Genomic DNA, 15,225 nt, shown 5'->3' on the forward strand with positions numbered 1-15,225 from the left:
GCTGTTGAGACACATTGCTTCTTCCTTCCCTCTCTTCCATCCATCTTTCCTCCCTTCCGTCCATCTTTCCTTCTGTCCTTCCATCCATCTTTCCTTCCGTTCTTCCTTCCTTCTATCCATCTTTCCACCCTTCCCTCCCCCGTTTCCATCCATCTTTCCTTCCTTCCTTCCATCCATCTTTCCTTCCATCCTTCCTTCCCTTCGTTCATCTTTCCTTCCATCCTTCCTTCCATTTATCTTTCCTTCTGTCTTATCTTCCTTCCATTCGTCTTTCCTTCCTTCCTTCCTTCCTTCTCCTTCCATCCATCTTTTCTTCTGTCCTTTTCTCCTTCCATCCATCCTTCCATCATTCTCCTTCCATCCACCTTTTCTTCTGTCTTTTTCTCCTTCCATCCATCCTTCCATCATTCTCCTTCCATGCATCTTCCCTGCATTTTTCTTCCCTTCCTCCCTTCTCTCTTCAAGGGCATCTGTGGTTCTGAGAACTTGCTTTGAGGCCTCAACTTCCTAGAAGGCACCAGCAACCCAGCTTTCCAGAACATAGACCAGATAGTGGGGTGTGGACAGGAGCACCTGTGACTTGAAAAACAGCTCAAAAGACTCAAGGAGGGGCCAACGTGGCCAGAACCCCTGGGCAGGCAGGCAGGCTCCTGTGTCAGTCAGTGCAGCCCCTGCCCTCTGGCCACACCTTCCTGATCTATCCCCCGAGCACCTCCCTGAGCCAGATGCCATGCTGCATACCTCGTGTACTTTCTCACTGGAGCCTCGGATGGCCCCATCAGGTGCATGTTATCACCGATTTGCAGATGAGGAAACTGAGACTTAGAAGCAGTAACTGGCTCCGGGTCGCACAGTGTCTGAGGGTTGTGTTGGGCCTGACTCCTGACCCTGTGGCCTTTGTGCTATGGGCCTGGGTCACAGCTTGGCATGGCGTCACTGCTTGTCACCAGGGCTCAGCCACACCAGACTGAGGCCTCTCTCTTCCCTTAGTCCTTGAGCTCACATGCAGTGGGTGCCTGTTGGGTGGGTCTTTCCATTCTTAAAATTTCCCACAAAGGTTTGTGGAATGAAGGGTGAAGGAGACCCCACACTTTTCCTGGGCTGAGGCCTTTCTTTGCTTAAGATGAAGCTTCAGAGGGAGACCCCCTGCTGGGTAGGCCAGTCCTACCGAGAGCCAGTGCCCATGGGAGTAACTCGTATAACCACAGCTGCACACGTGAGGTTGGCACGGCACTTCACAGTTTATAAAGTACATTCATTTCTCTACATCCTCTCATTTGATTTCCACAAAGACCCCTGCAGCAGCCAGGCTCGTGCCACCATTGTGTTGTGCAGATGAGGAAACCAAGGTGCAGCGAGGTTTCCTCCCACTGTCCCCGCTCCTCCACCTGGCTATTTTTTGTATTTTTGGTAGAGACGGGGTTTCACCATGTTGGCCAGGATGGTCTCGAACTCCTGACCTCAGGTGATCCACCTGCTTCGGCCTCCCAAAATGCTGGGATTACAGGCATGAGCCACCGTGCCTGGCCCACAGCATCATTTCAATAGCTGCATGGTATTTTGTTGCATGGAGCCATTATCTAACCACTTTCCTATTGTTTGATATTTAGAACACTTCCAGTTTTTCCCACTATTCTAAACAATGCTGGAATAAATAAGTCTTTACAACATTCTCGATTATTTATTTCCTCAGAATAAATTCCCAGGCAGGAAACGGCTGGGTCAGAAGGTCACAGGTCCTTTTGAATTAATCAGACATCTCAGAACAGTTTGAAGGGGTCTGAGCCTCAGGCAGGGGCCGTGAGGCCTGGGACCTCGCTGTGGCTCCCTTGCTGTCCTGTGGGTGGTTGAGGATAAGCCACTCACCCTCTCCCTTCATTCCCCATTTGTGAAATGGGAACAGTGGGCAGGATCAGGATGTCAAAGCGGGACAGGCCTGTCCACTGCTCTTACGCAGGAAGAGGGAAACTGTCGCCCAGGAGGAAGGGTCTCTGGAACCTGAGGGTGGTCTTGGCTCCCAGTTCAGTGCTCTTGACAGTCTGTCCGAACGGCACCACCTGTTCCCATGCCCTCTGCCTGTGGTATCGTAGTCCTGCAGTGTGGGCAGGCATTGACCTTTGGAGACCGGCCCGTCTCTGCCAGGTCTTCATCTGGACTTGGAGGTGCCCCCCACCCCCCGCACCTCACTGCTTTCTCCCTCATCTTCCCAGTGGCTGCCCCATCCCAATAAGCAGCATCCAGCCTTTGCCACCAGAGTCCTGACACTGTGGTAGATGCTTTGCCACAATTATCTAATTTTCATTTCTCCCAACAACTCTCTAAGAAGGCCAGTATTATCCTATTTTATGGACAAAAGCTGAGGCTCAGAAGTACCTTGCCAAAGTCCACGTGGCCAGCAGTTGGAAGAACCGGGCTGGTGGACTGCAGCACTGCCCCCTACTCTAGACCTGCAGCCCTGGGGGGTTCATCCTGCCTGCAGCAGTTCTGGGGTTGACCTTCCCTCACCCAGCCTGGAGTCAAAAGCCCTTTGATCCCCTCCTTTACAGGTGTTCCGAATAAAGGCCATCAGGCTGGGAGAGAAGCTCCTGCCGGCGTTCAACACCCCCACGGGAATCCCAAAGGGCGTGGTGAGCTTCAAAAGGTAGGGCGCCATCGCGTTCCCCACTGGGGCTTTACTGCGACCATGCCCACCATTTGTGTTTTGTCTGGGTGGTGCTGGTGAGGAGGCTCCAGGGGCAGTAGGCAGGCAAGCAGGAGGGGGGACCCTTGGGACCACCTCTGTTGAACCCGTTCTTTTATGATGTAGAAACTGAGGCACAGGGAGAGGACCATACCTACCTTGGGAGCCACAGTGAGTCGGTGGCACGGTGAAAGTGCCAGCGACTTCCCTGGACAGGTGTTTGTCACCAAACCTGGGTGTCAGGGTTTAGTCCACATAAGCCTGAGCCTCCTGGGGTGGGCGGGGGCAGTTCCTCTGGACATCCCACAGTGCTGTCTTGACTTGAGAGTCTTCCACAATGGCCCCAAACACTCTCTTCCCCCGCTGGGGTTCCGGAGCCAGCAGGCACATCACACCATCCTCCTCCCACGAGGAGGTCCCTGAAGCTGCTAGGAGATCTCAGGATCCCAGCCCTCCCAAACAGGAGCCTAGCTCTCAAGGAGCCCTAGCCACTGTCCCTGTGCTTCATGGAGCTACTTAGTAGAAGCCACATCCCCGGGCACCCTGCAGCTCTCTGGGGCCATCCTCGAGGCCCTCCAACAATCCCGACGCTAGGAAGGCTGTGACGTTCCACTGCACCAGACTTCCCATCCCATCTCCTGAAGTGATTTCTCATCTCAGGGCTCTCAAACCAACAGAAGCTTCAGCCAGCTGTCTGGGAGGGGAGGCAGGGGCCCTGGGCTCTGGTTGGAGGACCCATGGCTCCGATCACTGTCCTGGGGAGGTTGCACCTTCGTGTTGGCCTCAAGGGCTTCACCACCTTTCTCTGGTCTTGCAAAAAGAGGGCTTGGCATGTTCAGCATCTTCGTCAACTGTCCTCCCCTGTAGTTGGGAAGAATTCTCAGGGTGTGAACTCATTGGAATCTCACCATAGGCCAGGGAGGGGGGTGCTCTCGGGGGCCGGAGAAATCCCAGTCTCGATGCCAGGGTTGACTCCTCAGAGCTGGACTCCTGGATCTCTGCTCAGATCCCTCTTCCATAAACACTGATCCTGGAGAGACACAGCCAGCTGTCATGAAGCCCAGACACACACACACTGTCCTCTGGCTCCCCCTCCCCGGGTCTGGGGTAGGACATCATTGGGGGCATCCCTTCCTCTTCTGTCCCCAGCCCTTCCCTAGGTCTCTCAGAGCAGGGACCTGATCTGACACGAATCCTGACATTTGTGATTAAGGAAGCGCGTTTGCTTTTAGGCTGTTTGCCTGCTGTCCGTGCCGTGTGCGCATGTACATTCATGTATATTTCCTGGCAACATCCGCCTTTTTGTTCTTGGTAAGAAAGTCTGTTGCTAAAAATGCCTGGCTCAGAGAGTGGCAGGGCTGTATGGGCCCATGTGGCACTGAGTTTGCTCTTCGGAGGGGGCCTCCTGGCAGGAGCTGGGCTACTGTTGTTGCACCTGCCCCCGGCAGGGCTCGCTGTGGGCAGCCCCAACAGGAGGGGGAAGAACGTGGGCCCTTCAGGAGAGTAGGTAACCAGCCCTGCCCTACTCGTCAGGGTGGGAAGGACCCTGAGGAGAGGCCGTTCCCTGGCAGGTGTGAGCTGCACCTCCTCACTGGTGTCTGCACAGACCGGCCTGGGAGACTGAGGCAGGGCCAGCCTGACCTGGGACCTTCAGGGACACTGGACTGCCTGGGAGAGTGACGGTGGCCTGTGCAAGGACCTCTGCAGCCAAGCTGGTCTTTTTCACTCATGCTCTCTCACACACATGCAGACACTCTCCTGCCACCCTTATAGATCATAAAGGCCTGGATACACAAGCTGGCCTTTGTCACAGACATGCTGGCATCCATACATGGGCACACACATTCACAAACGAATATCCATTTACACATGCATGCTCCCGCCACACACAAATAGACATGTCTTCACAATTGCAAACGTCTGGTGAGAAGTCACTGTGTGTCAGGCATCACGTGAGCACGTGACATGGATTGTCTTTTCAACCTCACAGCAACCACAGGGACTCCATTTTACCGGTAAAGAAACTGAGGCTCAGAGAGGTGAGGTAACTTGCCTGAGGTCACACAGCAGCAAAGCAAACTTAATTAGAATCCAGGTCTGTCTACCTCCAAAGTTGATGATTACACCATACTCATGAGTGTACCTGCCTAGAAGCTACAGCCAGGGTGGGAAGGGGCATTGTGGAGCAGCCCCTCCTGCCAGGAGAGAGAACACAGGCTATGGGCCCACTTGCACTTGAAAGGCTGGGAGAGGAGATCAGAGCTTCCTGCTGGCCCATTGGCTCACAGGGCTGAGCAGAGGCCCTCCTGGTCTCTGGGATGCTGCCCAGAGCAGATGCATTTGGGGCACAGAACACCTAGGATTTGGAATTGGATTCAGTTCTACCACTTACTCTGTGGCCTCGCCCTCATTCTATGAAATAAAGACAATGGTATCTACCTCCGAAGTTGGTTGTGAAGGTAAAATAAGAACCACCAGAACCACCTGGCACAGATCAGAAACTTAGTAACAACAACATTTACATGTGCATAATTACATAATGATAAAAATGACAATACTTACATGCATAATTTATACCTCACAATAACTATGAAGTGTGGGTGCTGTCACTTAAGGGATGAGGAAACTGAGTTCTAGGGAAGTTAACCAACCTGCCCGAGGTCACTTTGTTGGGACCCGGAGAAGCCACCATTGGAAGCTGGGCAGGAGAGGAAAGGCGCCCAGCCACCTGCCTGCCTCTGCCCAGGCCAGCTCACTTGTCTGCCAGGGCATCTCCACCACAGGAAGCCCACTTGGGAGGGTGAGCATGTGGGGGTGGGAGAGAGGAAGGAGAGGCCCATGTGGGGGAAAAGGAGAACAAAAGACTGTTGGAGGGCTGGTGGCTTTTTCCTACCTTAAACTTCCCTGAGAATGCAGGAAGAATCAATTATTCAGGAAGCTCTCTGAGACTCACTGAGATCACAAGCTGGAGAGAGAAGTCTCAGTTAGCCTTGGGGGAAGAGGGACAGAGATGGGGCAGGGTGGCACCTCTCTCTTTCCCTCTGGGTGAGTGCGGGGCTGTCTTAGGGTGGGAGGCCCAGCAGACCTGTTTGAATCCTGTCTCCGTCGTCTTCCGCCTCTGACCTCGAACACTTCACTTCCCTGTATGAGCCTCAGTTTCCTCCTTTGCATAGGGGTATGAATGATGCTTTACGTTATGGGCTTTCAATGAAAGTAGTGATGCAAACTGCTTGTCCCCGTGCCTGGCACACTATACCGGCTCAATAAATGGAAGTTGTTTTGTTTATTCAGATCAGGAGCCAAGTTTCCCCTCCTGTGCAACCCATCCCTCCCCCACTGTCCCCTGCCCCAAGCCAGGATGAAGGTGGCTGTCTCTATATGTGTTGAGGTCACTTGACCCCAAAGATCTCAAAACCCGAGCCCTTCGTCTGTTCCCACAAGCTGGGAGGCTGGTAAGTGTCCCTACTTTCCCAGAAACCACATCCAGCCCCAAGAATGGAGTTTAGAGAGAACAGCAGTATCAGGGGATCCCCAGCCCTATCCCAGGAAAAGCAGCACCCCTCAAGTGGCAAACAGTGACCTCCACACCCCCACGCCTGCCTTCCTAAGTCCTGTCCGTGGAGATGGAGGGGCAGACAGGGGCCAGTTCCTGGGAGGGCAGTGTGACCAGGAGCAAGGAAGCAGAGTGCCCCTGGCAGAGCCAGTCGCTCAACCTGCTCCACACTAACTACACCTCAGAGCGTCTACAAATGGGAGGAGGTCACACCACCCTGCTCTGCCCCACCTCTGTCCACCACAGCCTTCCTGCAGACCCTGTGCCCTTGGTTGTCCTAAATATCCCACAGGAAAGATAATCATGATACATATGAGGAAACTGAGGCACGGGGGGGGGGGGCAGCTTGCCCAGAACCACCCCCATTCTGCACCTTCTTTTCCTCTTTATTCCCACAAAAGCCCAGGAAGGAGGAGGCATGAACCTAGGAGATGGAGGCTTCGCCTTCACTGTGTCTTACGGATGCAGGCACGGAGGCATGCGAGGATTAAGTGGTTTGCCCGAGGGCTCCAGCTGAGCGACACTTGAACCTGCACCTTCTGGCTCCAGATCTCAGGGAGACTTTCAGTGAATGCTCCCGGAAAGGCAGTGTCCTTGTTCCCTATCCTATGATCAAAAGAGAAGCAAACTGCACAGCAGTTAGCACAGGCTCTGGCATCAGAGCCAGCTCTGGGTCCCAGCTCTTCAAATTACTGTGTGATCTCAGGCAGGGGACATCACTGTCCTGTGCCTTGTTTACCGCGTTTGCAAAAGGGGCAGCTGTGAGGATTAACCAGGATCCTGCCTCTGCATTCTTTGTCTTTGAAAGCACACAGCTCCAGATGTGTGGTCACACCAGAGCTCCCTGCCTGTCCTATGTAGGTTCCATGAAATTCCAGGCCGGGGCCATTTCATGTCCTTGGGCAGCACTGACAGTGTGCTGGGAGAGGGAAAGAGCTAGGCGGGGACTCTGCTTTTCATTGGTCCCATTTGCACCCGAATCACAGCACTGTTTATCCTCCACATGCAGAACCACCAATGGTTGTGAGCCATCCGGTGCCTTCAGCCAGAGGACAGCAACCGGGTGTTCTGTGGGGTCTTTGTGGCCCCTGATAGCATTATCCACATCATCTGTAAATTCAGCATAACTCTTGTACCAGGTCTCGAGCTCCCAAGTCTTACAGGGGTTGCTTGATGATGGAGACAAAGAATATTCCAAGTCAGACAGGCCTGGGTTCAAATGAACTTCAGTGAGTCACTTTATCTCAGTGTCCTCATCAGGACATGGGGCCAGGGAGGATTCACTGAAATTGTACGGCGAAAGCTCCTGGTTCCATGCCTGTCACATAGTAGGTGCCCCCACCGAGCAGCTGCTGTTACTGTCAGCAGAGGAGCCAGCCTGGCCAAAGGGGGGATGACGGGGGCTGCTTCTGTCTTTTCAGTGGGAACTGGGGCTGGGCCACAGCCGGCAGCAGCAGCATCTTGGCGGAGTTTGGATCCCTGCACTTGGAATTCTTACACCTCACTGAACTCTCTGGCAACCAGGTCTTCGCTGAAAAGGCAAGTCTCCTCCCCACCCTTCTTCCTGCGGAGCAGAGGGATGAGCGTGCGGCTGCCACAGGGTTTTCAGAGGCGAGTGGGTCCTCCCTCATGGATCAGCAGGAGGGCAGTGGGGAGCCCGGGAGCCCAAGCTACCACTAAGGTAGCAAATAGTAGCTACCTATACCCCAACGCCAGGTGGCAGGGAAGGTGAGCACGCAGAGTCAATAAGATTCTACAGAGGGAAAAGGAGAGACAAGATTCTGCCGGGGAAAAGGTTCTCACTGGTCTGCGTGAGCTCAGTGGCAACCACCCATATGTGAAATCTGGAGAAAGTGCAACTGAAATCTAGGCACCACCTTGCATTGGCAGGAATTGGCCACCCACTGCAGAAGTCCCCTTTCCAGAGACATTTAGCTTTTCCATGTGAGATCTGCCTGCCTTCTTCCCTGTGCCTGTTTAGCTCATGCCATCAGCAGGCTGGCATGGCAATACCCTGCCATGGCAGATGCCCTGACTGTTCATTCCTGCTGTTTAAGGCCACATGGGGAGCTTAGAACACCAATCAGCCCTGACAGCTGCTCATACCTGGCCTTGGGCAGTCCCCACTAGCTAGAAGTGTCGCTGTAGGTCTGACCTCAAATCCAAAGAAGGGAAGTGCTCACACCTCCCTCATATGGCACTCAGGCTCCAGCAGCTACAGTCCCTCCCTGAGGGCTGCCTGGGGAGATGGAAGCCCTGCCCATCCTCTGGAGCCCTCCAAGGAGAACTCTGTGGCAGTGCCACTCCCAAAGCCTTGTCTTCCCCCTGGAATGCCCGCCTCTTAGACCAGTATGGGAGCTGGGAGATGACTGATAGATTCCCACCTCTATGCCACGGCTCCCAGCAGGCAACTGGGAGATGATAGATTCCCACAGCTACCCCATGGCTCCCAGTATCATGTCGCCATCCAGCCTCAAAGCATTACCTGGCACAGCTGTGAGGAAACAGATTTCTGGGCTTCACTCCAGGGCCAGGCATCTACATTTTTAATATGCATTCATGTGCTTTTTGACGCATGGTTTGGGACCACTACTTACTCAATGTAGGAGTCCACCTGAGTGTCCTTAAGAAGCTCAAGAAGAGCTGTTCAGCCTCTTCTTGATTACTTTCTCTGACAAGGAGCTCACTGCCGCCACCCTTAAACAGTCCGTCCTCCTGGCAGCCCTTCCTTCAAAAGTGTTTTCCTTACATTGAGAGGGACTCTGCCTCCCTGAAACTCCCCCATTTGAAAGTTCGTGGAATGAGTTCAACCTCACTTCCTGGTAGCTCTTATTTTCTGATCCTTTCCCACCTCCAAGTCCCATCCCCCAACCTCCCTGTTGCCATTGCTCTTAAATCAGACTCCTCTAGGAAGGTTCTGACCAGCTCCGAATGGAGTGGGACAGGGAGCTCACTCCAGTCCCTGGTTATTCTGGAGTAATAGCTACCCCTGCCTGAGCACCCGCTATGTGCTGGGCACTTTATAATGGCTCTACTCTTCCCAACAACCCTATGAGGTGGGTCTTCCTGGAGTTCCCATATTTACAGAGGAGGAAACTAAGACTCAGAGAGGTCAAGTCACTTGCCCTGGGCCTTCCAGCTGGTCAGTGATAAAGCCGTGATTCAAGCCCAGGATGTGCTGGCTCCTTCCAGACCAGATTGATAGAGCAGGCTGCAGGCTTTTGCTCTGGAGTCCATCCGTCTATCTCTGTCTCCTCTACATTTACATACTCTGGCTATTTTCATCCCCCAATCATGCCTCCCACAGAGGCAATTATTGGCAGTCAACAAATTGGCCCAAATTCTAGAAGCGCCCGCACCCTCCAGGGGAGCTAATTTGGCCTGCTTCACTGCTCACCACCAGGACAGTCGAGAGTAACGCAGGTACAAGCACATTCCTGTCCCCGTAATGGACTTCGTTAACATAAATGGATATGAAATCTGACGTGGCAAAGCCAAGTGCTGTCACCTGGAAAGGAAGGTCTGCCTGCAGAAAGGTGGCTCTCCCGCACTCCCGGCCCCGTACACACATAACTCTATCAACATGAGACAGTGTGGTCCCAAGGGCCTTTCTCTCCCAAGGGGTCTTGTGCTGGCTAGGACGTGCTGAGTAGGATTTAACCACTGTCGGAGAGCAGGCACTATAGATAAAGCCCTCTTGAATTCCACTTCTCACCTTCATAGCCCCAAAGGTTGCAAACCCAGCCTCTTTCTGCTCCAGCTGGGGCAGGCTGTGCTCCATGGTCACGGCCCTGATCTGTGTTGGCCCAGTGCTGCCCTGTGTTGGGCAGGAATATGTATGGTTTATGTTGTCAGAATTCATTCACGTCCTGGCTCTGCCACTTAAGGACCAGGTGGCCATCAGCAAGTCACCAGACCTCTCTGAGATTCAGGTTTCTTGTCTGTTACACTGAGATAATCCCTTGTCGGTTATGAGGGTTGGAGATAATGTATATAACGGATCTGGCTCAAAGGAACTGAAAAAGGATAACAACTGTTATTGCTTTTTATAATTATTATTATTTTTATTAAAACACTGAAACGCCTGTTAGGACATGGGGTTATTCAGGAGCCCAAGCCTCTCCCCCGAAATAATTCCAGGGCATCAGATAAAATAGCATATTACTAGATTGGGCCATATGAAACTGCCAATATTGGACCTTTTTTTGATTGCCTTATATACTTAACTGTTTTTTAAATGGCCAGAATACTTAAGCATTCTGAATACTTAAGTTAGCAACACTTAGCACTAAGCAGTTTTTAAGAATACAATACATTGTTATGAACTACAGTCATCATGTCTTATACCATAGATCTCTTGAACTTATTCCTCCTAACTGAAATTTTATATCCTTTGATCAGCATCTCCCCAACCCTTGGTAACCACCATTCTACTCTCTACCTCTACTTCTTTTTTTTTTTTTTTTTTTTTGAGACGGAGTCTCTCTCTGTCGCCCAGCCTGGAGTGCAGTGGCACTATCTCGGCTCACTGCAACCTCCACCTCCCGGTTCAAGCGATTCTCCTGTCTCAGCCTCCCGAGTAGCTGGGATTACAGGTGCCCACCACCATGCCTGGGTAATTTTTGTATTTTTAGTAGAGACGGGATTTCACCATGTTGGCCAGGCTGGTCTCGAACTCCTGACCTCAGGTGATCTGCCCGCCTCGGCCTCCCAAAGTGCTGGGACTACAGGGGTGAGCCACTGCACCCAGCCTCTACTCTCCACTTCCATGAGTTCAACTTTATTACATTGCACTTATAAGTGAGATCAAGTATTTGTCTTTCTGGACTGGCCTATTTCACTTAACACAATATCCTCTGGGTTCATACATGTTGCAAATGACAGAATTTCTTTCTTTTTTAAGGTTGAATTATATTCCATTGTGTATACCACATTTTCTTTCTTTTCTTTTCTTTTCTTTTTTTTTTTTTTTTTGAGGCAGAGTCTCACTCTGTTGCCCAGGCTAAAGTGGAGTGGCACGATTATAGCTCACTCCAGCCTCAATCTCCTGGACTTAAACAATCCTCCCACCTCAGCCTCCTGAGTAGCTGGGACTATGAGAATGTGCCATCACACCCAGCTAATTTGTTTGTTTTGTAGAGACAGTTTCGCCATGTTACCCAGGCTTGTCTCAAACTCCTGGGCTCAAACAATCTGCCCAACTCAGCCTCCCAAAGTGCTGGGATTACAGGAGTGAGCCACCACCCCTAACCTATACTATACCACATTTTCTTTTCTTTTTTTTTTTTGAGACAGAGTCCAGGCTGGAGTGCAAAGGCGCCATGTCTGCTAACTGCAACCTCTACCTTCAGGTTCAAGCAGTGCTTGTGTCTCCACCTCCAGAGTAGCTAAGATTACAGGCCTGTGCCACCACGCCTGGCCAATTTTTGTATTTTTAGTAGAGATGGGGGTTTCACCATGTTGCCACGGCTGGTCTCAAACTCCTGGCCTCAAGTGATCCACCTCCCTTGGCCTCCCAAAGTGCTGGGATTATAGGCGTGAGCCACCATGCCTGGCTATACCACATTTTTTTTATTCATTCATCTGTTGATGGACATTTAGGTTGATTCCACATCTTGCCTATTTGAATAATGCTGCAGTGAACACAGGAATATAGATAATCTCTTCAACATACTGATGTCATTTCCTTTGTATATATACCCAATAGTGGGATTGCTGGATTTGACCATTTTTGACCTATTAACAAGGCAATTTTACCTAAAGCTAACAAACGAGCTACTGTCAATTAACCCCACCTTTAAAAGAACCCTCCCTAGGCCAGGCACAGTGACTCACGCCTATAATCCCAGCACTTTGGGAGGCCGAGGCTGGTGGATCACTTGAGGTCAAGAGTTCGAGACCAGCCTGGCCAACATGGCGAAACCCCATCTCTACTAAAAATACAAAAATTAGCCAGGTGTGGTGGTGCATGCCTGTAGTCTTAACTACTGAGGAGGCTGAGACGGGAGAACCACTTGAACCCGGGAGGTGGAGGTTGCCGTGAGCTGAGATTGCGCTACCGCACTCCAGCCTGGGTGATGGATTGAGACTGTCTCAAAAAAAAAGGTCAGGAGTTTGAGACCAGCTTGGCTGACATGGTGAAACCCTGTCTCTACTAAAAATACAAAAATTAGCCAGGAGTGGTGGCACAGGCCTGTAATCTCAGCTACTCAGGAGGCTGAGGCACGAACATTGCTTGAACCTGGGAGGCAGAGGTTGCAGTGAGCCAAGATCGTGCCACTGCACTCCAGCCTGAGTGACAGAGTGAGACTGTCTCAAAAAAAAAAAAAAAAAAAAAACCCTCCCCAAAAGAATCCCTCAAAGTACCCCTAAAGCAGCAAGCAATGAGGAAGTGTTGAGAGTTGGGTGGGATAGGAGTCGGCCAGGCAGTGGTTCTGGGGTTGAGACTGTCCAGGTGCCAGGCAGAGCAGTCAGTGGAGAGGCTATGGATCAGGCCCTGTCACACCCTTCACGTGGCACCAGGGCAAGGCCACGTCACCATCCCCGGGTTGGAGCCTGCAGTCCGTTGGGCAGCTCTCCCTTCCTGCCTCCTCATAAGGTTTCCTCCATGCATCTGAACCAGCTGCCTCCCATCCTCAGCAGGCTGGGTGCAGTCGGCTTCTTCGGAAGCATGAAGGCTCACCTGGTGTCCGTCTCTCGGCAGGTCAGGAACATCCGCAAGGTCCTCAGGAAGATCGAAAAGCCCTTTGGCCTCTACCCCAACTTCCTCAGCCCAGTGAGTGGGAACTGGGTGCAACGTGAGTACAGAGACGCCACTGCCCCTTATTCAGCGGGTTCCTGCCCAGGCTTCCTAGGAAGACCCTGCCAGGCCCCTGGGCTGAGTGAGGATGTGTCTGTCAGAGCCATGCAGCCAGCAAGGCATTCGCTCGGTGCTCCTGGACACCACCTGCCTTCCCATGCATCCTGGGGGCTTGCCTGTGGTTGTCTGCTGCTGCAGTGCCGGATGTGATGGCTGCTGTTTACTGAAGGCCTGCCCTGTGCGTTCCAAACCCTACCTTCTCTGGCCCCATCAATGGCGCAGCCTTCCATCTCTTATGCTGCTGCGGGAGCCTCCTGCATTATACCCCAGGTTCTCGGGAGGGTCCCAGGTGGAGTCATCCATTCTAGAAGTGGCTCCAAGAGAGGCCAGGCATCCTTTCCAAGCCTCTTTGATCAGGCTCCCCACTTCCAACTTCAATTTTTTTTTGTTTTTTTGTTTTTGAGACAGAGTCTCACTCTGTCACCCAGGCCGGAGTGCAGTGGCACGATCTCGGCTCACTGCAACCTCTGCCTCCCAGGTTCAAGTGATTCTCCTGACTCAGCCACCCGAGTAGCTGGGACTACAAGCATGTGCCACCATGTCTGGCTACTTTTTTTGTATTTTTAGTAGAGATGGGGTTTAGTAGAGATGTTGGCCAAGCTGGTCTCGAACTCCTGACCTCAAATGATCCAACCGCCTCGGCCTCCCAAAGTGCTGGGATTACAGGCGTGAGCCACCACGCCTGGCTCCAACTTTAATTTAAAAAACAAACAAACAAACAAACAAACAAAAACCATACAACAGTGTAGAAATCATGAATTCAGGCCAAGCACCTGACGGGAGGCCGAGGCAGGCGGATCACGAGGTCAGGAGTTCTAGACCAGCCTGGCCAACATGGCGAAACCCTGTCTCTACTAAAAATACAAAAAGTAGCTGGGTGTGGTGGCACGTGTCTCTAGTCCCAGCTACTCAGGAGGCTGAGGCAGGAGAATCGCTTGAACCCGGGAGGCGGAGGTTGCAGTGAGCCAAGACCGCACCACTGCACTTCAACCTGGGCGACAGAGCAAGACTCCGTCCCAAAAAAAAACAAAAGACGTCATGAATTCATCTATACATCTTAGACCTACAAGAATCAGTCCCAGAGTTTTCAGAAGGTCTCTGTTCAGAGACTTGTTTCTCAGCCAGATAACAGCCAGTCACCCATGGAACATCATTCACAAGCCCCCAGCCCTACCCATTGCAACAGAATGGGGTTTGGGGTCGCTTAGGTGTGAGAGTGTGGACAAGTCCCCCAGGCCTCTGGAATGTGCATGCCTGTTGAGAAGCCCAGCTCTGGGAAGCAGAGGCAGGCCCTGGTCACATGGTCATGGTCAGCTGGAACTGGCAGTGACAGGTTCCGTGGGCACTGCCTCTAGGGCCTCCCAAGACCTGGCAGAGCCCCCACCCCCACTGTCTGTGTGCAAACAAGGACCCCCTTCCCTTTCCCCTGCCTCCAACCCAGTTTTTGTGACATCAGCAAGGGCTCAGGGGCAAAGTGGGTATGAGTCTAATGACTGTGTGGCTTAGGGGGGAATTCACTGTATCTCTTTGAACCTTGGTTTCCTGTCCTGCAAAATGAAAGAAGAGAATGAGATGCATTCTTTGTGTGCCATGGAGGGGCGTAGGAAGAATGGTCAAAGGCTGCAGGAAACAGATTTCACTTCCATCTGCCAAAGATGGTCCAAGTTGTCCCAAAAGGGAACAATGCAAGTGGGGCCTAGAGAGGCAGCATTGGGGACACTGTGGCGAAGCAGCTGAGGCCTTTCCTTCCAACCTGAACCTCCCCCAGAAAACTCAACCCAGGAATTTCCCCCAGGGACGACCTCACCCCAAGTGGCCTCCCGTAAAAACCACTTAGAGAAATGCAGAGTATTTTTAACCAAAACACACTGCCGAATCCAAAAGTACGGGGAGAAAATGAAGCTTGAATTGCAGATTATAGCCACGGGAAGAGGCAGTTCGATAACAGTTGCTGGTTTTAATTGCGAGACCTGACTGGATAAGGAGATAAACCCCTCTGAGCTGCTCCAGGGCAAGGCAGCAGAACCCATGAAAAGGGCTGAAAGGGGTGTGGGCTTCCTAGCTCAACAGTTACCTTGGCAAATTATAAGGGAGCCCCTGCCGGGAAGCATAATTTTCTTCTCAGGCAGAGTC

At 52.2% G+C, this 15,225-nt stretch overlaps 1 protein-coding gene across 6 annotated transcripts in view, besides 2 other annotated features; it reads left to right on the forward strand.

Annotated features, from left to right (window-relative positions):
- Nucleotides 1-15,225, forward strand: part of MAN1C1 (mannosidase alpha class 1C member 1) — a 167,660-nt gene that overhangs the window by 134,147 nt on the left and 18,288 nt on the right. For 4 of the 6 annotated variants that reach the window (NM_001385182.1, NM_020379.4, NM_001289010.2 and 1 more), the window contains 3 exons: nucleotides 2,547-2,641; nucleotides 7,655-7,772; nucleotides 12,937-13,030. The exons of 1 other annotated variant lie outside the window; for it this stretch is intronic. In NM_001385182.1, coding sequence (NP_001372111.1) covers nucleotides 2,547-2,641; nucleotides 7,655-7,772; nucleotides 12,937-13,030 — 307 coding nt within the window. Of the gene's footprint in view, nucleotides 1-2,546; nucleotides 2,642-7,654; nucleotides 7,845-12,936; nucleotides 13,031-15,225 lie in introns of all 6 variants that reach the window. One more of the 6 variants, NM_001385183.1, reaches the window with a different exon arrangement.
- Nucleotides 783-1,282: an enhancer, noted in NCBI's record as "H3K4me1 hESC enhancer chr1:26078211-26078710 (GRCh37/hg19 assembly coordinates)". NCBI's record gives its function as "activates a minimal SCP1, AML or CMV promoter by ChIP-STARR-seq in primed H9 embryonic stem cells {active_cell/tissue: H9 hESC(primed)}" and the evidence as "EXISTENCE:reporter gene assay evidence [ECO:0000049][PMID:30033119]".
- Nucleotides 6,491-6,990: an enhancer, noted in NCBI's record as "H3K4me1 hESC enhancer chr1:26083919-26084418 (GRCh37/hg19 assembly coordinates)". NCBI's record gives its function as "activates a minimal SCP1, AML or CMV promoter by ChIP-STARR-seq in primed H9 embryonic stem cells {active_cell/tissue: H9 hESC(primed)}" and the evidence as "EXISTENCE:reporter gene assay evidence [ECO:0000049][PMID:30033119]".

The sequence above is a fragment of the Homo sapiens genome, chromosome 1 (assembly GCF_000001405.40).
Source record: "Homo sapiens chromosome 1, GRCh38.p14 Primary Assembly".
Taxonomy (NCBI): domain Eukaryota; kingdom Metazoa; phylum Chordata; class Mammalia; order Primates; family Hominidae; genus Homo; species Homo sapiens.